Source organism: Homo sapiens, chromosome 7, assembly GCF_000001405.40.
Source record: "Homo sapiens chromosome 7, GRCh38.p14 Primary Assembly".
Classification (NCBI taxonomy): domain Eukaryota; kingdom Metazoa; phylum Chordata; class Mammalia; order Primates; family Hominidae; genus Homo; species Homo sapiens.
The window spans coordinates 36,218,201-36,245,178 of NC_000007.14; the positions used below are offsets into that span (position 1 = coordinate 36,218,201).

Consider the following 26,978-nt stretch of genomic DNA (forward strand, 5'->3'; position numbering starts at 1 on the left):
TGAATACAGTAGTCCCCCTTGTCCTCGGAGGTTATCTTCCAAGACTTCAGATGTGCCAAACCCTATATACTGTTTTTTCCTATCCATACATACCTATGGTAAAGTTTAACTTATAAATTAGGCACAGAAAGAGATTAACAACAATAATAATAAAATAGAAAAATTCTAATAGGAGGGGGAGGAAGAGGAGGAAAAAACTAAAAAAAAAATTATAACAATAGACTGTAATAAAATTTATGTGAATGTGGTCTCTCTCTTTCTCAAAACACCTTATACTGTACAGACTCACCCTTCTTCTTGTGCTGATGTGAGATAATAGGAAGGCTGCTAAGTGTCTAAAGGATGGGAAGCATCTGCAGATGAAGACGCTGAGCAAAGGGAGGGTTCACATCCCTGGTGAGACACAGCGGTGCAGTGTGAGATTGTGAATTGTATATTTCCAGAATTTTCCATTTAATATTTTTGGACTGTGATTGACTGTGGGTCACTGAAACCATAAAAAAGTGAAACTGCAGATATGGGGTGACTGCTGTACTATGTGAAAATATCACCCTCTTTTTGCTAAAAATATGTGATCAAATGTAAAGTTGGGCCTTAGAAATAGGCATGTTATGGTGGCTTGACAAGCTTAGGATGGGAACATTAGAAGGTGGAAGAGAAGTAGGCTGGTGGGAAGGAGAATGGCGATTTTGTCCAGATGAGGAGGGAATTTGGTTAATAAAAGCTTAAGGCTGGAGCCTAGGAGAAAGGCCTGGAGGAGAAGTGTTAATACTGGGTTTAGGTAGAGCAAGAAAGTGGGGTTTCGGGTTGGTATCTGGAAGTCTGTAGGAAGTTCCCTGCAGAAAATAAGAGAAATTATTTTTCCTTTGTGGGAAATATCAAAAACCAAATCATTGGATTGTAACATACTTTGAAATCCATCTTAGAAAATAAGATGGATCGATGTCTGATTGGGTGGGCAGATGTGTGATAATGATAATGCTAATTGTGGAATGTAGGCAGTGTGTCTATGAGTCTTCACCATATAGTGCCCTAAACTTTCTTGTAGATTTAAAAAATTCAAAATTTAAACGTTAGGAACAAAAGAGCAACTAGATGGCAAAGCCTAAACTCGTGGTCATTTTACAGGAAAAAAAAAATCAAGTAACAAGGAATCTCCTATGAATTCCAAAATACAAAAGGTGGGGACCTGGCTGGGTGTGGTGGTGTACACCTGTAATCCCAGCACTTTGGGAGGCCGAGGCAAGAGGATTGCTTGAGTTTGAAACCAGCCTGAGCAACTTAGCAAGACCCTATTTCAAAGAAGGAAGGAAGGAAGGAAAGAAAGGAAAGGAAGGAAAGGAAGGAAGGAGAGGGGAAGGGAGGGGAGAGAGAAGGAAAGAAGAAAAGAAGAAGAAGGAGGAAGAGGAAGGAAGGAAAGAAGGAAAGAAGGAAAGAAAAGAAGAAGGAGGAAGAGGAAGGAAGGAAAGAAGGAAAGAAGGAAAGAAGAAGAAAGAAGTGGGGACCAAAAACAGCCCAATCCCCTAATTACTGGCCTGATAGTTGGCCAGCATGCATTTAAAGAGAGAGAGAGAAAGAGAGAGAGAGAGAGAGAGAGAGAGAGAGAGTGTGTGTGTGTGTGTGTGTGTGTGTGTGTGTGTTCATTCTCACAGGCTTGGATACACATAAAGAGATATATAAAACATGAAAGATTACAGTATTTGAGGGGAAGCTAGTGAATGGAAAGGAAAGGTAGGAAAATCAGACATGATTGGCCCCTGGAAGTCCATCCCACATGGCCTGAGCAGGTTGCGGGAAGAAGAGCACAGGAAAATGGAAGTACAGAAGGGAACAGGCCCAGCTAGAGTCCCCTCTGCTACCAGGTGAGGTCGTGGAGGATGGGGATGCTGTCCCCACAGTAGATGCAGAAAACTAGTTTGATCTTGTTGTTTCTCATGCTTCCTCCAGTGAAAGCCAAGAAATAATCAAAGAACAATTCAGGAAGAACAATTGGGAAGAAGGGCGGTAAAAATGACTTTTTCCTGAAGGAACAAATACCTTCAGATGATGTTTGCAGCATTTTCTGATTTTATTGAGCAGATGGCTCCTTCTTGGGTGAAAGCATGTTGAAAAACTTAAGGGGGAAGGGAAAGGCTCAAGTTCCAAGGAGAAGTCCCCAATTCACTTGGGTTAGGGAGGTGAATGGTACCAGTCAGAGAGCCCTCCTTGCTTTGAAGACATCTGGACTTGTATCATCATAACCACGTGGATTAAGAATAACCAAAAAGAACCTCATGGAAGTTCCATAGCTTCATCTCTTGCCAATTGGATGTGACACTGGGGAGGAAGTTTGGGATGAAAGAAAGAGGTACCTGTAGAAGCCCTGAGCTCCAGTGGCAAATGGCACTTTGCTCTTTCTATTCATTTGGCCCCGTTGTCCTCATCTCTAGAGCAGAGCTAATGGCATCGACTCCATCTCATATCCTGCAGAGAACATGAAAATGTCTCTGATGTCTGTGGTTCAGAGTGTGTCAGATGGTATTGAAAAATGCTTTGTCCTTCTCCTTTCACCCTCTGCCCATAACAAACTTATAACTACACTGAATTCGGTTTTTGTTTTGTTTTGTTTTGTTTTTTTGAGATGGAGTCTCGCTCTGGTGCCCAGGCTAGAATGCAGTGGTGCAATCTCGGCTCACTGCAACCTCCACCTCCTGGGTTCAAGTGATTCTCCAGCCTCAGCCTCCTGAGTAGCTCGGATTATAGGTGCCCACCACCACACACCACCACACCTGGCTAATTTTTGTATTTTATTAGAGACAGGGTTTCACCATGTTGGTCAAGCTGGTCCAGAACTCCTCGCCTGAAATGATCAGCCTGCCTCAGCGTCCCAAAGTGTTTAGATTACAGGCGTGAGCCACTGCGTCCAGCCAACTACACTGAATTTGTAAATTATCAAGGTAGTAATTTTTCTCAGTTTGAGGGAAGAGTTTCATCCTTCAGTTTAAAATAACCTAATATGTAATTTCTTTTCAACATTTTATACAACCTTATCTTTTGGAGCTCTGTTCCGTATCATCTTTTAATAAACTTGCATTTTGAATGAATGTTACAGCTTTGAAAGTATTTAAGAGCCAGCTCTATGGTATGTGTTTTGCTTATTATCTGTGTATCTTTTTACTTTTAGCTTTAGAAGATGGAGAGCAAAACTGTTTTGTATACTCAGCTCCAGAAAAGTTATAATATTCTTTGTACTTCTTTAAGAAGGATGAGCCTGGATTGATCTGGAATTAAAGTGCTAACTGTTAAAGAATGTAATCAGATTATTTAATAATAATAACAGGGACACTGCAGGACTGCATATACCAGCCTGGCACCATAAAATCTGAACTCAGCAATTCCACCGTAACAGGAACATTTTCAGGTTGTGGGTCAATCATTTAGATCCTGTTTTTTTAAGTGGCTAGAATACCAGTGTGATTTTGAGGAATGAAAGCTTTATATTCTGATCAGTTCTAAAAAAGGTAAGAATCATGTATGAGGTCATGTCCATTTCAATTCAGATAAATATAATAACTGTCATTTATGGTGTACCTATTATATACTAGAAGCAATATATTGTAATAAATGCCATTTCAATGATTTTCTAAATAGCTGCAGTCATTATCCTGATTTTACAGATGAGAAAATCCAATCTCTGATCAAATGCCTTTTTATGGGACAGGTCCTCTGTGTCCCCCCCACAGCACACTGGCCACACATGTACCTGTGCTCCCTGTCACTCATACTCCCTTACCTGGCTTTATTTTTAATACATTTATCATCACTAGACACATTATATAGTGGCATTTATTTTATATTGTATTCAGGATCGTTAACCCTTGAACAACATGGGGGTTAGGGGAGCCAACCCGCCCTCCCCTGCAAAATTGAAAATTCACATAGAACTTTTGACTCCCCCAAAACATAAGTACTACCAGCCTACTGTTGACCAGAAGCCTTACTGATAACCTGATAGTCAATTAACAAGTATTTTGTATGTCATATGTACTGTATGTTGTATTCTTACAAATAAAGTAAACTAAGGAAAAGAAAATGGTATTAAGAGAATCATAAGGAAGAGAACATATGTTTACTAGTCATTAAGTGTAGTGGATTATCATAAAGGTCTTCATCTTTATCATCTCCATGTTTTGAGTAGGCTGAGGAGGACAAGGAAGAGGAGGGGTTGGTCTTGTTATCTCAGGGTGGCAGAGGCAGAAGAAAATCCACCTGTAAGTAGACCCGCACAATTCAAACCTGTATTGTTCAAGGGTGAACTGTATATATAACAGAAATATTGCACATTATATAATTATGTGATAATTATATAATGTTTGTTGCAGATCCTTCCTGTCTCAGTGTTTTTGGAGTACAATAACAAAATACTATATACTGGGTGATTTATAAACAAAAGACATTTATTTCTTACAGTCTGGAGGCTGGCGAGTCTAAGATCAAGGCACCGGCTAATTCAGTGTCTGGCAAGGGCCCATTTCCTAGTTCATAGATGGCATCTTCTAGCGGGGTCCCCACTTGGTGGAAGGAGCAAAGCAGCTCTCTTCGTGCCTCTTTTATAAAGTCACTAAACCCTCATGTCCTAATCACCTCCCAAAGGCCTCACCTCCTAATGCCATCACACTGGTCATTAAATTTCAACACAGGTGGCTCACGCCTGTAATCCCAGCACTTTGGGAGGCCAAGGCAGGCAGATCGCTTGAGGTCAGGAGTTCGAGACCAGCCTGGCCAACATGGCAAAACCCCATCTCTACTAAAAATACAAAAATTAGGCAGGCGTGGTGGCGGGTGCCTGTAATCCCAGCTACTTGGGAGGCTGAGACAGGAGAATCGCTTGAACCCGGGAGGCAGAGGTTGCAGTGAGCCAAGATCACGCTACTGCACTCCAACCTGGGCGACAGAGTGAGACTGTGTCTCAAAAAATAAATAAATAAATAAATAAATAAAAGTAATAATAAGAAATAAATTTTAACACAGTAATAATAAGAAATAAATTTTAACACAGACCTCAGCACCTCCTCACTATTGCATGCTGGGTGGAGCTGGTGTGCAAGGGCTCTTGGGAGCTTTTTGTGCGCATCTCTTCCCAGCTCCACACTGAGTCACACCAGACTGGTGACTTGAAATGGGCCTTGGTGGGAGTATGTAAGACACCACAGAAATTGGCAAATGAGGCAACTCCTCTGCATCCCCCACCCCTAGAGCCAGTGGTTAAACATTGACCTGCAGGCCACCACTCCCCACCCCTCATTAGAACGTAAGCTTCGTCAGAGTCAAGATTCTGTTTTGTTCCTTGCCCTATCTCTGGTGTTGAGAACTATGCCAGGCACATAGTAGATGCGTAGTAAATATTTGTTGAATAAATAAAAAGCAGTGCATGCTTTTAAATTATATAAGCTTGGCCTCATCCCTGTGTGGACCCTGAATAAGCCACTTCATTGCTCTGAAGCTGTAAAATAGAAATCGAAATCCCTGCCTCTTCAGTTAAGGCTTAAGGTATCCCAAAGCCAAGGGTCAGGGGGAGAAGGATGAAAAGTTAATATTGTAGTGTACAAATCATACAGTCAGTCCTTGAATACTTAGTTTAGCTTTAGAATCTGCAGTTTGTTACAACTGTGTCTGCAAGGAGAAACTTGCAGATGTAAGTAAAATAATATAATCAAGGCTTAGCAGGGTACCAACATCTGGAAAACACTTTCAACTGAATCCTCTTTCTCCTCTTCATTGGTTCTTTCTACATTTCAGTCTGTTCCCCTGCCTTTTCTTCCAAATTTTCCAGGAATAAAATTGCCTAGTCTACTTTAGTTTTATCTCCTGCAGTTAAGCCAAGTCATTAACTTTCTAATGGACTTTCCTGTGGAGCCTCAGATCTTAAATTAGGTTAAATGTTTCAGCTTTTTAAAAAGTGGCATTAAATAGGCAATTTGCTGTTGGGAAAAAAAGCTTGTATATGGAAGTGTTTCCTAGTCTTTGGTCAGCAGCCAGCCTGACTTTTACTGTTCATCATCACCCCTGTTCAGTGGGATCTCAGTGGAGTGAAAGGTTTCAAGTTGACTGGAAGCAGAGCTCTTTCTCTGTGCCTTCCCAAGGTGGGTATGAGAAGGAGAGATCGATCCTTTACACAGGTGGATAGAAAACGGGCCGACAGTCAGTCCACTCATAATAGCTGGACAAATGTTTCCTTGTTTAAGGATGCATAAAGACTAAAAAAAGGCTGTGGAAAAGTCCTGCAGAACAAGGTAAAAGCAAGAGCTTCTGTAGACTGAGATGGAGTTTCTATTTTGAAAAACCATCTACAGCAGACTCCAGAAGATAGTTTTGGGAAAATATGTGGCATCCTCAGTATACAGCAAAAGGACATGGTCTCCCAGGGCCAGGAACAGTAAAACGTGAAGAAAGGATATTTGACATGGAAAAGCAACAGAAAGGGAAAAGCAAGGAGATGGATTCCATAAGGAAAGGTTTTAAGGATCCAATAGCAGAACTAAAATCCAAATTAGCAAGAGTATAGAAAAGTATTCATGTATAGTAAACTGAATAATGGCCTCCAAAAGTTTTCCATATCCTAATCCTTGGCACTTGTGAATGTTACCTCACATGGAAAAAAAAAAAGTTTTGCAGATTTGATTAAATTAAGGATCTTGAGGGGTATGGGGGTTATACTGGGTCATCTATGTGGGCCCTAATTGCAATCACAAGTGTCCTTGTAAGAGACAGGAAGAAGGAGATGTGATGATAGGAGAGAAAGCGACATGACCATGGCGACAGACTGGAGTGATGAGGCCAAAAACAAGGAATGCAGGCAGCCACCAGAGACAAAAAAAAAATAGGCTCTCCTCTCGAGCCTCCAGAGGGAGTGCGGCCATTCCGATAGCTTGATTTCAGCCCAGTGAGCCTGAGACTTCTGGCCTCCAGAACTGAGGGAATGACTTTCTGTTGTGTTAAGTCACCAAGTTTGTGATAATTTGTTAGAACAGCCACAGAAAACAACACAAATGCCATGGAAAATCAAATCAGTGATATGAGTCAGGGTGAAACAAGTCGAGAAAGATTCTGGAAAATATGAGAAAAGAAGAACAAGAGACAGGGTTATACATGTGGAAGATGGAACTGACCACCCACATTCAGATTTTTGGCGTTGGTGATTATTGAAATCAGTGATCCGTCATCCAAACTGTGATGGAAGGAAACCCCGTGCTCACGAGGGACTGTGCGTGAATATCAAAGGCCTCACTCAACCACATTCTGAACAAACTCAGAAAGAGACGGCCACATCTGAGCATACCCTGGGAATAATAAAGAATAACAACGATAAGAGGGGGACAAGCATTTCATCCAAACAGAGAAAAAAGTAACAAAAATTAAGTCGACTTTAGACTTGTTCTGTATAACAAAGAGACTGTGTTTACAGAACCTGTCAGAAGATTAAAACATCTGGGAATTAAAAAAAAATTTGGCTCTATTCCCAGGCCCCATAACACCAACCTACGTGTGGAGCCTGAGAATCTGAAGCATTAAAAGTTCTTCGATTATCAAGTAAGTTTATGAACCCTCTACAAAATTTGGGGGTTATGTAGCAACCCAAACAATTTTATGCTCAGCTGAGTTGCCTTTTGTCTGTGAAGCCAATCAGAAAGACATTCTCAGATGTGCAGGGGCTTAGGGAAGTATACAAACATGCTCCTTTCTTTAAAATTCATTTTAAAGACATGTCTTAGATGCTCAAGAGTTAAAACAGAGCTCAAGAGTAGCTAACATAAGCACCAGATTCCATAAAACTAGAGAGCAGTTTAAATTATTGTTATAAGTCTGATTAGCAAACAAATGCAAATGTCAAAAATTGTTCTTACAATAAACTATGTAATGGAAAGACAACCAAATGCCTGTATTCTGGATCTAAGCCTTAGAGTATTGCTAATGAAGATCAAAGAGGGAAGGGGAGATAAGGGTTGTAATGCTGCTTGTCCGAAATGGGATGGTATCAAGAAAAAGTTGTTTCAGTCTTTATTCTAATCCTCAAGAAGTGTTAGTGGCTAAAGAAAGGCTCTGAATGATGAGTACTAATAGCCGCCATTCCGAGAGGCTTATGAGGGAAGCAGCGTGCTAAGTACTTTACCTTAGTCACCTCTGCTCCCGGCCACAGAAGCGGGCGTCAGTCTCTTTCTCTTCCCACCTGCTGCTGAGTTCTTCAGGTTCCTTAAGACCCTGCAGCCAGTAGGCAGTGCAGCTTGAACTGACTCTTGTTTCCTACATTAATATGAAAAACTTAAAGTGAACACTGATAGATCCAAAAACATGTTCAGGAACTACTCAAATGCTTGGGAAATGGAAACGTGAACTCAGCACAAAGTAGACCCAAAAGAGTCTCAATACACTTTACTAATCAGGAAATAAATACACAGGGTGCTTCCCCTAAATAGAGTGCACTAGAACTATAGAAAATAAAATTTAAAACCAAACTACTTAGAGATAGAAAAACACAATTCAAATAACCATTGAATCCAACAAGAGGTCAACACTACAACTGTAGACTACATAGATAGTAACAAGAAGACTGCATAATGAAATTTGAAACAAGGATAAATACATACTTAGAGAAAAAAGTATGGCTTTATATATATAATAAATCATTTAAACAAAAGAAGGTGACAGAGAAACCAAAGAAAACAGTGGAAAATTGGAGAAAGGAATTAAGATAAATGTGAACCTTAATTAGAAAAAGAATGGTACAATTGATAAATCCTAGTGCTAATTTTTCAGGAAACCAACAAAGTAGACTGATTTCTCACAGATCTAATTTTCAAAATGAGAAAAAATATCTACCCATCTTAAAGAAGGGAGGGGGGGTGGCCAGAAACAGATGCAGAGGTGATTATTAAGTTTAAAGTGATTACTTGTATAATTTTGTGCTCAAAATTTGAAAATCTGAATGGATTGGATAATTTTCTTAAAAAATAGAATATACTGTAATTGATTCAAGCAGTTGAAAACCTGAATGGAATAAAAAACTTGGGCACTGTCATCAAAGAAGTTTCCTGCCCAGATTGTTTTGCAGACTAATTCTTTCAAACCCGCTAAGAACAGTTACTGCCCAAGCTAAATTCCACAGAGATTGTTCTGTGCTGACATCCTAATCCCGCACTTGGCTTTGGCAAGGAAGGGTGTCTTGGCAGTGACAGGATGCAACGCTGTCAAGGACATATTTAGGAAAAGCAGCTCCTTCTCCAGAGCTCATCCCTCCTCCTGGGCGTGTCCACTGATGTGCAGATGCTGACGGCCCCTGTGTTTCCTCAGCTCTGAGCCAATAGAGGAGGAAAGTAAGCATGGGGGAAAACAGGCCTGCATGTAACACCCATGATGTCTTCTAAAATTTGGTGATAAAAACAAGAGACAAGAAATTTTTGGCCAGGCGCAGTGGCTCACACCTGTAATCCCAGCACTTTGGGTTTTTTTGGTTTTTGTTTTTTGTTTCGAGACGGGAGTTTTGCTCTTGTTGCCCAGGCTGGAGTGCAGATGCAGTCTTGGCTCACTGCAAGCTTCGCCTCCCAGGTTCAAGTGATTCTCCTGCCTCAGGCTCCCAAGTAGCTGCGATTACAGGCACATGCCACCATGCCCAACTAATTTTTGTATTTTTAGTAGAGAAGGGGTTTCACCATGTTGGTCAGGCTGGTCTCAAACTCCTGACCTCAGGTAATCCGCACACCTCAGCCTCCCAAAGTGATGAGATTACAGGCATGAGCCACCACACCCGGCCTAATCCCAGCACTTTGGGAGGCTGAGATGGGAGGATCGCTTGAGCCCAGGAGTTGGAGACCACCCTGGGCAACACAGTGAGACCCCCATCTCTATTAAAGAAGGGTGGGGGGATTCCTTCATTAATTTCCTCAGAAGTTAACCTGGAACTTTGCTTGAAAGGGAAAAGAGGCGTGTTCAGACATCTGGATTGATGCCATTTGTGAATCTGACTTTCATGAAATTCCTTAAGTAACTCCACCCCACATAAAACAAATACAGACTGGGCATGGTGGCTACCCGCCCTAATCCCGCACTTCGGGAGGTTGAGACAGGCAGATCACTTGAGGTCAGGACTTTGAGACCAGTCTGGCCAACATGGTGAAATCCCATCTTTACTAAAAATACAAAATTAGCCAAGCATGGTGGCACACACCTGTAGTCCCAGCTACTCAGGAGGCTGAGGCAAGAGAATTATCTGAACCTGGGAGGCAGAGGTTTCAGTGAGCAGAGATTGTGCCACTGCACTCCAGCCTGGGCAATAGAGTAAGACTCCGTCTCAAAAAAAGAAAAAAAAAAAAACTGCTGTGGAAAATCAAATCAGTGACGTGAATGAAGGAAAAAGTTATTCTGCAGACACAGCTGGGGCCAGGCCTGCCAGGATTTTACACAGTTGTGTTTGATTAAGTCCTCCTCAACCACCTACAATAATGGATAGGATTGTGATAGATAGGAGGATATTCGTGTTTATTGATGGGAGAATTTGAAACATAATCAAGATAGGGGCTAGTTTTTGTCATGTGAGGAGAAGTGTGCCAGGCATTAGGGAGGTTCCTTGGGTTACCTCTGGGACTCAGAAATGAAAGGGGACTATTCCTAGTTTTATTACTAGGGCTGTTATTAAGGATGAAAATTGATTAATAGGTTTGTCACAGAGACATGTGAGTAGAGAGTGGCCATTGCCCCTGGCCTCCGGGCCCTGGCTGTGATTACACCTTTGCTCCATGTTCTCCTCTTGGGCCTCCTCTCTCCCTTAGAGAGAAAGGCTGCCTGGAGAGCCCCTTTCCCCAGGTTTACACTGCTGAACCCCTCTTCTAAAGGCACGTGCGGAAACCCCTTCCCTGTCACTTGCTGTACAGTCTGGGAGACAGTGTGGGCTGATACATCAGGTACAGGGCCTGTGTCGCCAGCATTGCTGGAGGTGCTGGGGTTTGGTGTGGGCTCTTCAATTTAGGGTCTTCACATTCTTCTCTTTTTCTTGCAGAGGAGGGTGTGGAAGTATTATATTATAAAACAAAACTAGTCCAGGCATCATTAACAACTTTCATGATCTTTAGTTTTCTTCCAAATCCTGCAAATGGTGATTATACTCTGAGAGAAAAACTGGGTCCCGTGACTATATCATTTGGGGAGGGAGGGAAGGCATGGAGGAAAGAGAGAGAAAGAGAATGTGAATGCACAGCTTTGAGAGGGACTGTTTGTGCTTTAATAATTGCCTTCACTTGGATAAGGCTAAATACCTGCTGGCTTTGCGTTTTCTCCTTGGAAAATCATGCTGTGAGAAGCCACCCAACATGTTGTACCTAGATTTTAATGTCGTCATTTCTCCTCCTTCACTTCTATCCACTTCTCACCCACTGAAACCTGGCATCATCTCCACCACCCCCTGCAGCCGCTCTCTCCAATGCCACCAGCCTTTGCTTACCTGGCATTCTGTAAATTCTGAACAACTGGCTACCTGCCCTCTTGCAGCACTCTCCCCCTATGGCTGCCGGCCGTGTTCTCCGGGTTTCCCTTCTACCTTCCTGGCAGTCCCTTTGCCGCTTCCATAACAGCCTCCCATTCCTGTTTCCAGCTGCTAATTGTTGATGGCCCTTGGGCACCTACCCTGGACTGTCTTCTCTGTCCTCACAGCCTCCTGGATGGTCTCTCCCCTTCGTCACCATCCTCCCGCTCCTGATGTCCAAATCTATAGCCCAGGACTTGCTGAGGTACAGCCAGTTACCTCCTCAAACTCCACTCAAAGGTCCCAAAGCCCTGAACCCCAGTGTATCCAAGACCAGACTCGCATCTTCAGCACTGCTTGGCTCCCTAAGTAGATGATCCCTTCAGCCCCCAGTTTCACAAGGTGGAAACTGGAGTAATGTTTCTTTCTTGTTCCCCTCATCTGTTCATTCATCAGGCCCTACCAGCTGCTCACCTGTGTAGAATTAGCCCAGTGCCATTTGCCTGCACAGGCCACCTTCATCTCTTACCTGGACCCGTCCTGGGTCTCTCTACCTCCAGCATTGCCACCCCCACCCCATCCCCATCCATTCTCAACACCATGGCCATATTTTTATTAGTTACTTTCTGTGCCCCCGGGCCTCTGCCACATCACTGCCCTAAATTATTTGTGACTACTCCTTGCCAGACTCCTTGATGTGGCTTGACAGACCCTCTGAGCAGGGCCAGCCCCACCTGTTTCTGCAGAATAATCCTTGAGTTCCTACCTCCTACCTTCAGTCCTGCCTCCCCATGTCCATGGTCAGCATGCAGTCCCTGAGCAGGCCATGCTCACTCTGTCCCCTTGTTCCTTTGCTCTTGCCGTTCCTGCCACCCTACCTGGAATGCTCCTGTCCTCCCCTCTGCTGTGTAGGCCTGAAGGTGTGAGCTGATGGGCTACTCCTCAGGAAGCCTCCCAGCTTTGTGCAGTGCCCTTCCAGCAGGCACATGGCGCCATGTGTTTGCCTCCTGAGAGTGCCCATCACGCGGCTGATGCACTTACCTGGTTCCTCCATTAGACTCAGATGTCTAGGGGCAGAGGCTGCTTTTGCTCATCAGTGTGTCCCTAGCACCCAGGAGTGCCTCGTGCATACTGCATAACCTTAGATATTTTATCCATACAGTGAATGAATGGATCCATCATATAGCATTCATTGTCTGTTACATATTGCTGTGTCTCATGGACTATACTATGTCATTTAATAAACGCAGTGGGAACTCAAAGTGCCAGAATCCTCAGAGAAAGGGAGCCAGGGTGAATCCTGACTCTAGCATCCTTTAGGTTATAATCTATTCTGGAAGCATAAGTGTCTCTATAGTTGAGGGTTTATCCTTTAAGTGCTTTTGAAGCATCCATAGAGTTATCCCATATCTGTCTTTTTGGGGGCCATCGAGGCTTATGTGGTCCGTGTCCCATGCCGTCCTGGACTGCAGGGGTGCCCTCTGGCTTCTGTCACCTCAGTGCTGCTGCTTGTCTTCTGTGCTGTCAGTGTCTGCCTGGCACTTTCCCCATCACCCTCTCTAATCCCATTGTAGATCTTAACTGCACGCATTCTAGGTCTTTCTAAGTGTTGCTCATCCTGACTTCAGAACTTGCCCTTCAAGCTGTCATTTATCTAAATAAATCATTGCTATCAGCTGCTTTTGTGTGATTTGCCACTCTTCTCAAAGTAGGGTACAGAAAAAGAAATTATAGTTCATTGCAGTTTTCATCTGCTTGGGGCTGTGCTGTTCTCAGAGGATGAGGACCAAGCTCCAGGCCACTAACAGACACAACCTCTTAGGCCCGGATCTACTGGTCCATGTTGGAACCCAGGAGAGTCTCAGGAAGACACCTCTCTCTTCCTCGGGCATACGCTGAAGCAGCTTCCTAACCCCTGCGGGCCCTTGTGGAGGGCAGGAACTGTGTGTTCATCTTGTCCCCCAGACACACGGCAGTTTCTGAAATATAGGAGGTATTCAGTATAAGTTTGCAGAATCAGCAGAAGAAAGGCGGGGAGGAAGAGGCAGAATTGAAAATATGAGATACCAGATTCCCTTCCAGGGCAAAAAGTTAGATGGTGTCAAGTGGAGGATTTAGTACGTGGGCTTATTGCTGCTTCATATGTCTGAAATTTCCTCCCAGGGAGTATCTGATATGCTAGAAGAATCTGATATCATAAATACTGAAATAAATACCATAAACTGGAAGGGTTTCCAATAAGGTTAGAAATAAAATCAGGACAGTTATATAACAGGAAGCACCTCAGAATACCCTTAAGGACTGCAACTCTCAGGAGGACAAAACAGCTTTCTGAAGAAATCCAAAGTTATGAACAGCTCTAGCAGTAGCTTCTTAATATTAATATGCACTGCCCTCATTTTGAAACACTTAACTGTGTAGATCTGAGTGTCTTATCATCTTCTCTCCCTCTGCCCCTAAAGCTATTCCATTTATGTTGCTGGTTTTTTTTTTTTTTTGGTTTTGTTTTGTTTTGTTTTTGTTTTTGTTTTGAGATGGAGTCTCACTCTGTCACCTAGGCTGGAGTTCAGTGGCACAATCTTGGTTCACTGCAACCTCCGCCTCCCAGGTTCAAGCGATTCTCCTGTCTCAGCCTCCCGAGTAGCTGGGACTGCAGGCGCCCACCACCAGGCCCAGCTAATTTTTTGTATTTGTAGAAGAGACGGGGTTTCACTGTGTTAGCCAGGATGGTCTTGATCTCCTGACCTTGTGATCCACCCGCCTCGGCCTCCTGAAGTGCTGGGATTACAGACGTGATACTGCACCAGCCCTTGCTGGGTTTTAGTAGTATAAGAATGTCTCTGGTTTGTTTGTTTTTGCCCCTCCCCCTACTCCTAATGCATAATACTATTTGGTATTGGTTTTAGAGCAGAAAATAAATGGGTTTTTATCTCATATGCCGATTTCAGTAGATTGGTTGTGGCTCACTGGAGTGTTGAGAAGAATTTGGAAGCTGAATCTAAGTTCAGTGGGGGAGAGTTCTGTGGAGGCTGGGGGGTTGGAGGGTAGCACTGTGCATGCCAGGCCTGTGCCAGGTGTGTTCTAGAGGACAGTAACTCATGAGAGCAGGACATGGCATCCTTCAGGTTTTGACTTAAATCAGAGTCAGTTGAAGTTATTTTAATGTCATTTTCATTTTAGAGCCTGAAATTGTTGGTTTTCAAATCTTGTTCTGCTGTGGCTTGAATGTAATATCTTAGTGAATAGTAGGGAGAAAAATAGAGCTGAATATTTTAACAGTGTTGAGATCTTTTCTTTAAGCTGTTGCCATTTGATACCTGATACTAAATTGGACTTCATGACCATAAAAGGGGCAGGAATGGGAGACTATCTGAAAAGTCCCTCCAGTGTAAATATTTATCATGGTTATTTCAGAGGCAGATTAGGCTTCTGAAATTTGAGCTACAACTGGATAGTCCTAACTTAGCATATAAGTTGCTGTCCAGATTGGTAACCTGGAATCTAGATTTGCACAGTGGGAATCAGAATGTGCTGAGGAGTGGCCAATGGCCTTGACCTGCCACCAGGCATATTTCATGAATGACAGTCAGTTACATAATTCACGTAGTACCTTTCAACAAGGGAGGATCCACCCAGTCATCTTGTTTGAGGCATTCTTTTCAGAAGGAGAAACCGAGGCATGGCCTTTGCTATTACCCATTCAGGCTGGAATGTATGAGCTATGATAGCAACTTGGCCTGAAGGCCTCCAGGCCTGGTCAGCAAATAAATTCCTTGAGCGCTTTCCATGTGCCAGTTGTAGACACCACAAATGTAATTATGAGCAAGAATGTCTCAGCCCCCAGCCTCAAGGAGCTTCCACGCTTGTTGGGAGGAGACAGACAAAAGCACCCCGATATACTCATGCTTCAAGGTAGCACAAAGACCACTGAAGAAAATAACATATTGTGATCTGGGATGCTGGTTTAACTCGGGTGTCCAGGGAAGTTTGCTTGGAGGAGATGGCACTCCCAGTTAGACTGGAATGAGGGGATGAGACAGATGGTGTTGGAAAGATCCTGGGGAAGACCCCTCCAAGCCAGAGAAACAACAAACGCAAACCTGCCTAAGAGATGGAACAAAAGCCAACGGGGTTGGAGCAGAGAGAACGCCCACACTCCTGTCCATGAGCCTGGATGTTTGCTAATTTGTTGTTTGTTTTGTTTTTTGGTGGGTTTTTTGTTTTTTGTTTGTTTGTTTGTTTTTTAAGACAGAGTCTCGCTCTGTCACCCAGGCTGGAGTGCCTGGTGTCATCTCAGCTCACTGCAACCTCTGCTTTCCAGGCTTAAGCGATTCTCCCACCTCAGCCTCCTGAGTAGCTGGGATTACAGGCGCCCGCCACCATGCCTGGGCTAATTTTTGTATTTTTAGTAGAGACAGGGTTTCACCATGTTGGCCAGGCTGGTCTCGAAGTCCTGACCTCAAATGATCTACCTGCCTTGTTCTCCCAAAGTGCTGGAATTACAGGTGTGAGCCACTGTGCCCGGCCTGATTTGTTGTTGGTGTTGGTGGTTTCTTATAAGCCTTGAAAACTTTCATTGCACTTCTTGAAGCTGCTTTTAAATTAGCCATTGTATTTGGTGAGACAGTGTTTGCTTAGTTGTACAAAGGGTATGAAGAATTCTATAAATTAAGGTGAACTTAAAAATTGCCTAATTCTGACCAGATGTGGTGGCTCACACCTGTAATTCTAGTACTGTGGGAAGCTGAGGGAGGCGAATCGCTTGAGCTCAGGAGTTTGAGACCAGCCTGGGCACCATGATGAAATCCCATCTCTACTAAAAATACAAAAATTAGCCTGGTGTGGTGGCGTGCGCCTGCAGTCCGAGCTGCTTGGAAGGCTGAGGCAGGAGAATCACTTGAACCCTGGAGGTCAAAGCTGCAGTGAGCCAAGATGGTGCCAGTGTACTCCAGCCTGGGTGACAAAGTGAGACCCTGTCTCAAAAAAAAAAAAAAAGATAAATTGTCTAATCCCTTTGGAGGGAGGCATGTGCTTCAGAGTGGGCCTATTTCTATTCCGTAGAACCTGTGCGGGTTGCTGGAGGTGGAGAGGAAATGACCAGTGAGCATTCTGGGTGGGCAGGGAGTGTCGTCACACCATCCATAGCTGACCCACTCCCTAAACAGCCCCTTGGAGCTCTCATGCTTTTACTGTGTGCTGAGTCCAGCCCAGGCCTCCCCCACAGCCTCCAGCCCAGGCCTCCCCCATGGCCTCCAGCCCAGGCCTCCCCCATAGCCTCCAGCCCAGGCCTCCCCCACAGCCTCCAGCTCAGGTTTCCCCCACAGCCTCCAGCCCAGGCCTCCCCTACAGCCTCCAGCACAGGTTTCCCCCACAGCCTCAAGCCCAGGCCTTCCCCATAGCCTCCAGCCCAGGCCTTCCCCACAGCCTCCAGCCCAGGCCTCCCCTACAGCCTCCAGCCCAGGCCTCCCCTACAGCCTCCAGCACAGGTTTCCCCCACAGCCTCCAGCCCAGGCCTTCCCCACAGCCTCCAGCCCAGGCCTCCCCCACAGCATCGACCACCTGCTCATTGTGTCCATGAACACTTCAAAAGCAACATGTCAAAAAGGGGAAAATACCTCCCCTGTCAACCTACATGCAGTTCTCAATTCTGTCACCCTGGTTGCTGGCTGTAGCCTCAGTTCAGGCACCTGCACTGGAAACCAGCTAGTCATCTCTGCCCTTGGAGCCTCTATAGACCTCCTCTGTGATCGCCTTTTTTCCCAGCCTTCCTTCCCTGACAAAGCTAACCTGGTCCCTCCAGGAATCCTCTGGCCTTGGCTGGGCCCGGCTCCCCTCTGCATCTCTGTGTGCCCCTTTGGCATACAGTACATCATATTCTGGACTGGCTGTGAGTGCCTTCCAGGCAGGGAATGCCATAGCAATCATGGATCCTTGGTCACCTGCACACAGTAGGGCGCTGTCAATGTTTGGAAAACAAATGAGTGGCTGAGCAGGGTCCCTTTGCAAGCGATGGCTTTAGCTATTTGGGTGACTGTTTTTCTTTATATTCTTCTGAATGTATTCAAATTCCTCACAGTAAGTAGCTATCAGATACTTTTAGAATTTTTTATGGCAAAATGTTTATAAATAAAATTTAGCATTTTAACTCTTTTTAAGTGTAGAGTTCAGTGGCATGGCATAAAGTACACTTACGTTGTTGTATAATCATCACCAACATTGTCTCTAGAACTTTTTCCTTTTTTTTTTTTTTTGAGACAGAGTCTCGCTCTGTCACCCAGGCTGGAGTGCAGTGGCGTGATCTCTGCTCACTGCAGCCTCGACCTCCCGGGCTCAAGAAATTCTCCTACCTCATCCTCCTGAGTAGCTGGGGTCACAGGCATGCACCACCACACCAGGCTAACTTTTTGTATTTTTAGTAGAGATGAGGTCTTGTTGAGAGGTGACAACATGCTAGCAGCCCTCGCTCACTCTCGGCTCCGCCTCGGCGTCCGCTCTGGCCGCGCTCAAGGAGCCCTTCAGCCGGCGGCTGCGCTGTGAGGGCCCCTCTCTGGGGCTGGCGAGGCCGGAGCCGGCTCCCTCTGCTCGCAGGGAAGTGTGAAGAGAGAGGCGCGGGCGGAAGCGGCGCTGGCGGGCCACGGGTTCCAGGTGAGCGCGGGCTTGGCAAGCCCCGCACTAGGCGCCGCCGGCCGGCACTTGCTGGGCTTGATCGGAGGCTGAATCCCGTGCGTGGACCGCCGTTCCCTCTTCGCGGGATTGTTGGCCACGACAGCCGGTCTCCGTCTCTTTCTCGTTTCCCCTCTTTTCCTCTTGATTGTCTGGGACGAGCTCCCTCTGGGCTGCCTTAGTGCCCAGGCTAGGTGCCACAAAGTCCCGCTGCCAGTGCCAGTAAGAGGTGAAGCTGGCTGGGCTTCTGAGAGGTGGGGACTTGGAGAACTTTTCTAGCTGTCTCCTGTCTAGCTAAAGGTTTGTAAACGCACCAATCAGCGCTCTGTGTCTAGCTCATTGGATGGGGACTTGGAGAACTTTTCTGTCTAGCTAAAGGATTGTAAACACACCAATCAGCACTCTGTGTCTAGCTAAAGGTTTGTAAATGCACCAATCAGCACTCTGTCAAGACGGATCAATCAGTGCTCTGTAAAATGGACCAGTCAGCTCTTTGTAAAATAGACCAATTAGCAGGATGTGGGTGGGGCCAGATAAGGGAATAAAAGCAGGCCCCCTAGCCAGCAGGGGCAACCCGCTCGCCTACCATACCAGGCTGTGGAAGCTTCGTTCTTTTGCTCTTCGCAATAAATCTTACTGCTGCTCCCTCTTTGGTTCCATGCTGCTGTAACACTCACTGCGAAGGTCTGCAGTATCATTTCTGAAGTCAGGGAGACCACCAACCCACCAGGAGGAACGAACAACTCCACACGCGCCGCCTTTATGAACTGTAACACTCACCGCAAACGTCTGCAGCTTCACTCCTCAAGTCAGCGAAACCACGAACCCACCATAAGGAAGAAACTCCGAACACGTCCAAACATCCGAAGGAACAAACTCCGGACACACCATCTTTAAGAACTGTAACACTCACCGCGAGGTTCCACGGCTTCATTCTTGAAGTCAGCAAGACCAAGAACCCACCAATTCTGGACACATTGTGATGTTGTCTAGGCTGCTCCTGAACTCCTGAGCTCAAGCAGTCCTCCTGCCTTGGCCTCCCAAAGTGCTGGGATTACAGGCATGAGCCACTGCGTTGGCCCTCTAGAACTTTTTCTTTATCCCAAAGTGAAATTCCATACCTTTTAAACAATACCTCTCCATTCTCCTTTTCCCCCAGTCCCTGGTAAGCACCATTCTGTTACCGGAAAGGGGTCCCCATGTAGACCCCAAAAGAGGGTTCTTGGACCTTGTGCAAAAAAGAATTTGGGGCAAGTCTATAAAGTGAAAGCAAGTTTATTGGTAAAGTAAAGGAATAAAGAATGGCTGCCTGAGGTCAAGCACAGTGGACTCACGCCTGTAATCCCAGCACTTTGGGAGGCCAAGGTGGGTGGATCACTTGAAGCCGGGAGTTCAAGACCCGCCTGGCCAACATGGTGAAACCCTGTCTGTACTAAAAATACAAAAATTAGCTAGATGTAGCAGCACACGCCTGTAAAACCAGATACTCGGGAGGCTGAGGCAGGAGAATGGCTTGAACTCGGGAGGTGAAGGTTGCAGTGAGCCAAGATCACTCCACTGCATTTCAGCCTGGGTGACAGAGTGAGACTGTCTCAAAAAAAGAAAAAAGAATGGCTAGGTATTTTTATGGGTTTTTTTATTATATGCTAAATAAGGGGTCGATTATTTATGAGTTTTCTAGGAAAGGGGTGGGCAATTCCCAGAACTGAGGGTTCCTCTCCTTTTTAGACCATATAGGGTAACTTCCTGACGCTGCTATGGCACCTGTAAACTGTCATGGTGCTGGTGGGCATGTCTTTTAGCATGCTAATGCATTATAATTAACATGTAATGAGCAGTGAGAGTGACCAGAGGTCACTTTTGTGGCCATCTTGGTTTTGGTGGGTTTTGGTCAGCCTCTTTACCACACCCTCTTTTATCAGCAAGGTCTTTGTGACCTGAATCTTGTGCCGACCTCCTATCTCACCCTGTGACTTAATGCCTAACCTCCTGGGAATACAGCCCAGTATGTCTTGGCCTTATTTTACCCAGCCCCTATTCAAGATGGAATAGCTGTGGTTCAAATGCCCCTGACAGTTCTACTTCCTGTCTGTGTGAATTTGACTACTCTAAGATATCTCATATAAGTGGGATCGTATAGTATTTGTCTTTTGTGACTGGCTTACCTCATTTAGTGTGTCTCCAAGGTTCATCTGTGGCGTGGCATGTATCAGAATGTTCTTTGTTAAAGCTGAGTAATATAGTCCATTAAAAGTATATACTACGTTTTGCTTATTCGTTCATCTGTGGTAAACATTTAAGTTGTTTCTACCTTTTGGCTATTGTGAATAATGCTGCTATGAACATTGGTGTGCAATTACCTATTCGAGTTCCTGCTTTCAATTCTTTTGGGAATATACTTAAAAGTGAAATTGCTGGATCATATGGTAAAAATTACTTTTAAATTTAGAAGCATTTTAAATACTTTCAAAACGGTCATTTTGATTTAAATAAAAGGTCACCTTAAGATGGCAGGTGACATAGAAATGCAGGATGAAATTTCAGCCTTTTGTTCTTGCGACTTGTTAGATGATCCTTGGTGACATGAAATGATTTGTTTTCAAGTGTGGTTTTGATTTTTTTTCTTACAGCATCAAGCTTCTAGCTGTGCAAGAACTGCTTGACAGAGAGGCCTTGGAAAAGGTAAATATTTTACTCTTCCTTCCACATTCACAAACCAAGAACGGAGGGCCACACATAAGAAAAATTCAACTCCCTGTCACCAGAGACAGCCCCTACTGAAAAGACGGTCAGTTATTTTGTATTCCTGACAGCGAATCATGCAGAATTTTAATCTGAGCCCCCTACCTTGCTGACATTGTGTTCACACCTACAAACTCGGCTGTACCTGGCTCCCTCTGGGTTGTGTGCAGGTTGTGTGAAAGGCAGAGGCCCGTGCTGCAAGGGGCCATACTCTGGAGGAGGCTTTCTGTGCTTTCAGCCATTAGGAGCCAGAGGCCTCACGCATGCCGGAGTCTGTGTTGGCCACCTCACTGCATTTCTGCTTGCTGTGTGTTATTATCTGGGTGTAGGGATGATGGAATTGAGACCCAGTAACTTGCCTAAGGCAAATGAACTAAGTAGAGGAGTGATGATTTGAATCCCAATAGTTCCATTTCCAAAACCAGTACTTCTCTATTCAGTAGTCAAGTTCATGCGTTTTTATCTCTTTTTAGGCTACTACTGAGGATTGAGAAACTGCCTCTCTGCCCCCAAACCAACGTTTCACTGTGCCCTGGAAGAGATCCCCAGTGTGTCTCGGCTTTCTATGTTCAAGTCAAGCCTGGGATTGGGGATTTTTTGCCAGTTGTGGGTTCAAGTTCGGCATGCATGGTGGGGTGGGCTCCACAAAACAGGCTGGGTGGGCACCAAGGAAGCCAGGCCCCCCTACTTGCCCATCAGGGGCCTCCCAGCTGATACCAAGCTCTCAGACCCTGGGGAGTTCAGGACTCTTCCTGCATGTGTAGCCGCAGGTGATAATTAGAATCTGTGTTGCTAACATGAAGCAACAGCACCCAAACGATATTCATTTGTTTTTGGTTAGAGAGACAAGCACTTGAACTATATTCGTTTATTTTTGGAATTTAAAATATTTGAGGGGGCTAGGTGAGGTGGCTCTGCCTGTAGTCCCAGCACTTTGGGAGACTGGAGGGTTGCTTGAGCCCAGGAGTTTGAGACCAGCCTGGGCAACATAGTGAGACCTCATCTCTTCAGAAAATCAAGAAATTAGCCAGGTGTGGTGGTGCACACCTGCGGTCCCAATTCCGCAGGAGGCTGAGGCAGGAGGATCACGTGAGCCCAGGAGGCTGAGGCTACAGTGAGCCAAGATCATGCCACTGCACTCCAGCCTGGAAGTCAGAGCAAGAGACCCTGTCTCACAAAATAAAATATCTGGGTTAGTAGTCAGTCTGCTGGTTGGCACTAAGACAAATAAAGTCTTTAAAATGAACACCAACCAGTGGTGTGAGGGAAGAATGAGGTCTGAGCACTGCTTTGGATTTGATGTCCCCTCAACCTCATTTCTATCTTGGGTAAACCAAGGATAGAGCTGCTGCCTGACCTCAGAGAGGCAAAGTGAGAAGCAAATGAGTTAATGTAGCAAAAGGGCTTTCTAAATGCCAAAGCACTCTACTCATTATTAATTCTTAATTACTTATATTAATTCTTAATATGCATTCAGCCATGAAAACATAGTGGGTCAGGCTATAAAAGACATCATCGGGCCAAATGGCAACATTGGATGTGGATAGTAAATGAGATGAAGGTATTGTATTAACATTAACATTTCCTGAAGTTGATAATTGGCTTGTGATCATGTAAGAGAATGGCCTTGTTCTTAGGCAGCAGTTCCCAACCTTTTTGGCACCAGGGACCAGTTTCCTGGAAGAAAATTTTTCCGCAGACCTGGGTTGGGGGGATGGTTTCAGGATGAAACTGTTCCACCTCAGATCATCAGGCATTAGATTCTCATAAGGAGCGCACAATCTGGGGACCCCTGTTCTTAGGAATTAACACAGGAGTATTTAGGAATAAAGGGGCATGGTTATAACTTATTCTCAAATGATTCAAGGAAAAGAAATAGTGATGTATATATGTCAGACAGATCCAGAGAGAGAAAGATGAGAATAACTCATCAAGTAAATGAGGCAAAATACAAACAATTGATCCTTCTGTGTAAAGGGGTATGTGAGTTCCTTGTATGTTCTTGAAACTTTTCTAGTATCCCCCCTCAAAAAATTGTCATCTTAGTATTCATTATGGTTATTCATTTTATTTCTCAATTTAAAAAAACCATCAGATGGCTGGGTGCGGTGGCTCACACCTATAATCCCAGCACTTTGGGAGGCCAAGGCAGGCAGATCATGAGATCAGGAGTTCAAGACCAGCCTGGCCAGCATGGTGAAACCCCATCTCTACTAAAAATACAAAAATTTAGCTGGGCATGGTGGTGCACCTGTAGTCCCAGCTACTCAGGAGGCGGAAGCAGGAGAATTCCTTGAACCTGGCAAGCGGAGGTTGCAGTGAGCTGAGATTGCACCATTGCACTCCAGCCTGGGCAGCAGAGCGAGACTCTGTCTCAAAATAAATAAATAAATAAATAAATAACCATCAGACAAAGCTAGCATATGTGGAGCCTAGTGCTGGGGTGTATCAGTATAATAAAAATGCAGGTGCCAAAAATAACAGTTATGACTGGACACAGTGGCTCACGCCTGTAATCCCAGCGCTTTGGGAGGCTGAGGCGGGTGGATCATTTGAGGTCAGGAGTTCAAGACCAGCCTGGCCAACATGGTGAAACCCGGTCTCTGCTAAAAATACAAAACTTAGCCAGGCGGTAGTGGCATGTGCCTGTAATCCCAGCTACTCAGGAGGCTGAGGCAGGATAATCGCTTGAGTCTGGGAGGCAGAGGTTGTGGTGAGCCGAGATTGCGCCATTGCACTCCAGTCTGGGCGAGAGAGTAGGACCCTGTCCCAGAAAAAAACCCAAAAATAACAGTTATATCTTTTGAGCTGTGTGTACACCTGATTTAGAGAGGTCCCAGAGCTAACCCAATCTGTGAGTATTAACTACTTTCAAAACCTATCAGAGAAATAGGGTCAGGGCTTATTGTGGCTGGTGGCGGAGCCAGTTGTGCTGCCCTGAGGATGTGATTTTGATGCTGAGGCTGCGGCGGAGCAGACCCTAAGCCCACCTTCCTAACTAGTTTATCTTGGATTACTTACTTTCTCGTGCCTTAGTTTCCCAGTTTATAAAATTGAAACTATTCTAATTCTTAACTCACAGAGGTTGTAAGATGACTAATTAGATAGTTCACATAAAGGACTGCAACACTGTGCCTGGTACTCAGTGATCTCCAAGAGTTAGCTGCTGCCCATGTTCTTTCCTATTCCTCTTCCCCCACCCTGATTCTCTCTCCCCGAGTCTGCTGATGATTTTGTATTGTTCCCCCCATCTCAAAATGTGACCAGTAAGAAGCTTTACAAGATGGTCTGCATGTGTACAGGGGCCAGCAGGGAGCCAAATTCGCTGAGTTTCCTCCTCCTTCCTTCTGTTCATTCATTCATTCATTCCCTTATGCTACAGGAATTTGTTGAGCTTCCAGTGTGCCAGGCAAGTGGCAAACATTTCTTGAAAAGTTCAGAAGCAAACATTCATCATGAGCTTGATAGCCAGTTACATTTTGAGTGACATATGATATATTACCTGGCATAGTGCTATTTTGTGCATCAAGATTGGTCCAGTTGAGGCCAGGCGTAGTGGCTTACACCTGTAATCTCAGCACTTTGGGAGGCCAAGGTGGGTGGATCACCTGAGGTCGGGAGTTCGAGACCAGTCTGACCAACATGGCGAAACTGTGTCTCTAATAAAAATACAAAAAAAAAAAAAAAAAAAGCCAGGTGTGGTGGCAGGTGCCTCCCAGCTAATCAGGAGGCTGAGGCAGGAGAATCTCTTAAACCCGGGAGGTGGAGGTTGCAGTGAGCCGAGATCGCCCCACTGCACTCCAGCCTGGGCAACAGAGTGAAACTCTGTCTCAAAAAATAAAGGATTGGTCCAGTTGATATGCTGGAATAAGATGAGTTCCTAAAGGGCCTCGTGACTTACAGATTCCCTTCCACCTGGACTGATTAAAAAGCCAACAAGAAAAGTTATTTGTCAAATATAGAACTGCGCTACTCGAAGTGTGGCCCACAGACCTGCAGCATTAGAAGCCTGTTAGAAACGTAGAATCTCAGCTCCCTGAATTCAGACCCCCTGAATCAGAGCTACATTCTAAAAAGCCCCCAGGTGATTATGTGCTCGAAAGTTCAAGAACGCTGCTGTAGAGTATCGTTTATTATCACCATCGCTATTATTAACTAGTCAGAAAGAATCTATGAGTTGTCAATTTGACTTTTATGGCCAATTAAGCCTGGTTTTTTTTTTTTTGGCACCAAAAGAGAAGAAGTAAACACCGTCATTCTATTTGTGAGAACCCAGTTTTTATTTTTAGTTCACCTGCGTCTTCCTTTGATTAAGAAAATAGTCTTAATTCAATAGGTAGAGCCAGCAAAAAAGGGCTTAGTTAGACACACATTCTGCAAACCTCAAACCTCTTTTACTGTCATGCAGCTGAGCTTCAAATGACAACCGGCCTTTGAGTTTTGTAATCACTGAACTCCCAACACCCTGCTGTGATAGAACTGGTCGCTTCTAGCCAGACAGTCCCAACAGTGGGGACCTGCACAGGCCTCCTCTTTTAAGATGGAAGCTATTCTAAAGGGGCCATTTCCTTCACAAGTACTGGTGGATTAAATTTGAACAATAAAATATTTAAATTATGTAAAACCTAATGTGAGTTCATGTCCTTTGTAGGGACATGGATGAAATTGGAAATCATCATTCTCAGTAAACTATCGCAAGGACAAAAAACCAAACACCGCATGTTCTCACTCATAGATGGGAATTGAACAATGAGAACACATGGACACAGGAAGGGGAACATCACACTCTGGGGACTGTTGTGGGGTAGGGGGAGGGGGGAGGGATAGCATTAGAAGATATACCTAATGCTAAATGACGAGTTAATGGGTGCAGCACACCAGCATGGCACATGTATACATATGTAACTAACCTGCACATTGTGCACATGTACCCTAAAACTTAAAGTATAATAATAATTAAAAAAAAAGAAAATAGTCTTAATTCAATAGGTAGAGCCAGCAAAAAAGGGCTTAGTTAGACACACATTCTGCAAACCTCAAACCTCTTTTACTGTCATGCAGCTGAGCTTCAAATGACAACCTGCCTTTGAGTTTTGTAATCACTGAACTCCCAACACCCTGCTATGATAGAACTGGTCGCTTCTAGCCAGACAGTCCCAACAGTGGGGACCTGCACAGGCCTCCTCTTTTAAGATGGAAGCTATTCTAAAGGGGCCATTTCCTTCACAAGTACTGGTAGATTAAATTTGAACAATAAAAGATTTAAATTATGTAAAACCTAATATAAAAAGCTAAAAAGAAGTAGTAGTCTTTTAAGGTCTCATAGAAAATAAGTGCTTTTTCTTGCTAATATTAGGCCTTGTTATTAGGATCTTAGTATTTTAACTTAAAATGACCAGCCATTTGCCTAAACATTACTTGGTTTTAGGTAGACAGCCTTCCCATTTTTAGACGTGCCAAGGTTTTCCTGTTTTCTGCAGAGCCCAGAGCCAGCTCTGAGGAGGTTCCCAATTGGCAGAGCCGAGTTCTCCTCCCGGTGTGGCCTCTGCTGAGCTGCTGTGTCTGGCAGAGGATCTTCCCTGAAGGCCCCAGCCCCTTTCCTAGCCTGTGAAACTGCTCTCTGTGATTCCTTCCCACTCTTCGATACCTGGGCTTCATTTTTCAGAGTTGATTTTTTTTTTTTTTTTTTTTTTGGAGACGGAGTCTTGCCCTGTTGCCCAGGCTGGAGTGCAATGGTGTGATCTCGGCTCACTGCAACCTCCGCATCCTGAGTTCGAGCAATTCTCCTGCCTCAGCCTCCTGAGTAGCTGGGATTATAGGTGTCTGCCATTATGCCCGGCTAATGTTTTTTTTTTGTTGTTTTTTTTGAGATGGAGTCTCGCTCTGTTGCCCAAGCTAGAGTGCAGTAGTATGATCTCGGCTCACTGCAACCTTCACCTCCCAGGTGCAAGCAATTCTCCTGCCTCAGCCTCCTGAGTAGCTGGGATTACAGGTGCCTGCCACCATGCCCAGCTAATTTTTTTGTATTTTTATTAGAGATGGGATCTCACCATGTTGGCCAGGCTGGTCTTGATCTCCGGGC

The 26,978-nt window shown here is 44.7% G+C and overlaps 1 protein-coding gene across 1 annotated transcript in view; it reads left to right on the plus strand.

The window, feature by feature from the left end:
• Positions 1-26,978, plus strand: part of EEPD1 (endonuclease/exonuclease/phosphatase family domain containing 1) — a 148,285-nt gene that overhangs the window by 64,947 nt on the left and 56,360 nt on the right. The window contains exon 3 of the mRNA NM_030636.3: positions 20,785-20,836. Coding sequence (NP_085139.2) covers positions 20,785-20,836 — 52 coding nt within the window. The remainder of the gene's footprint in view (positions 1-20,784; positions 20,837-26,978) is intronic.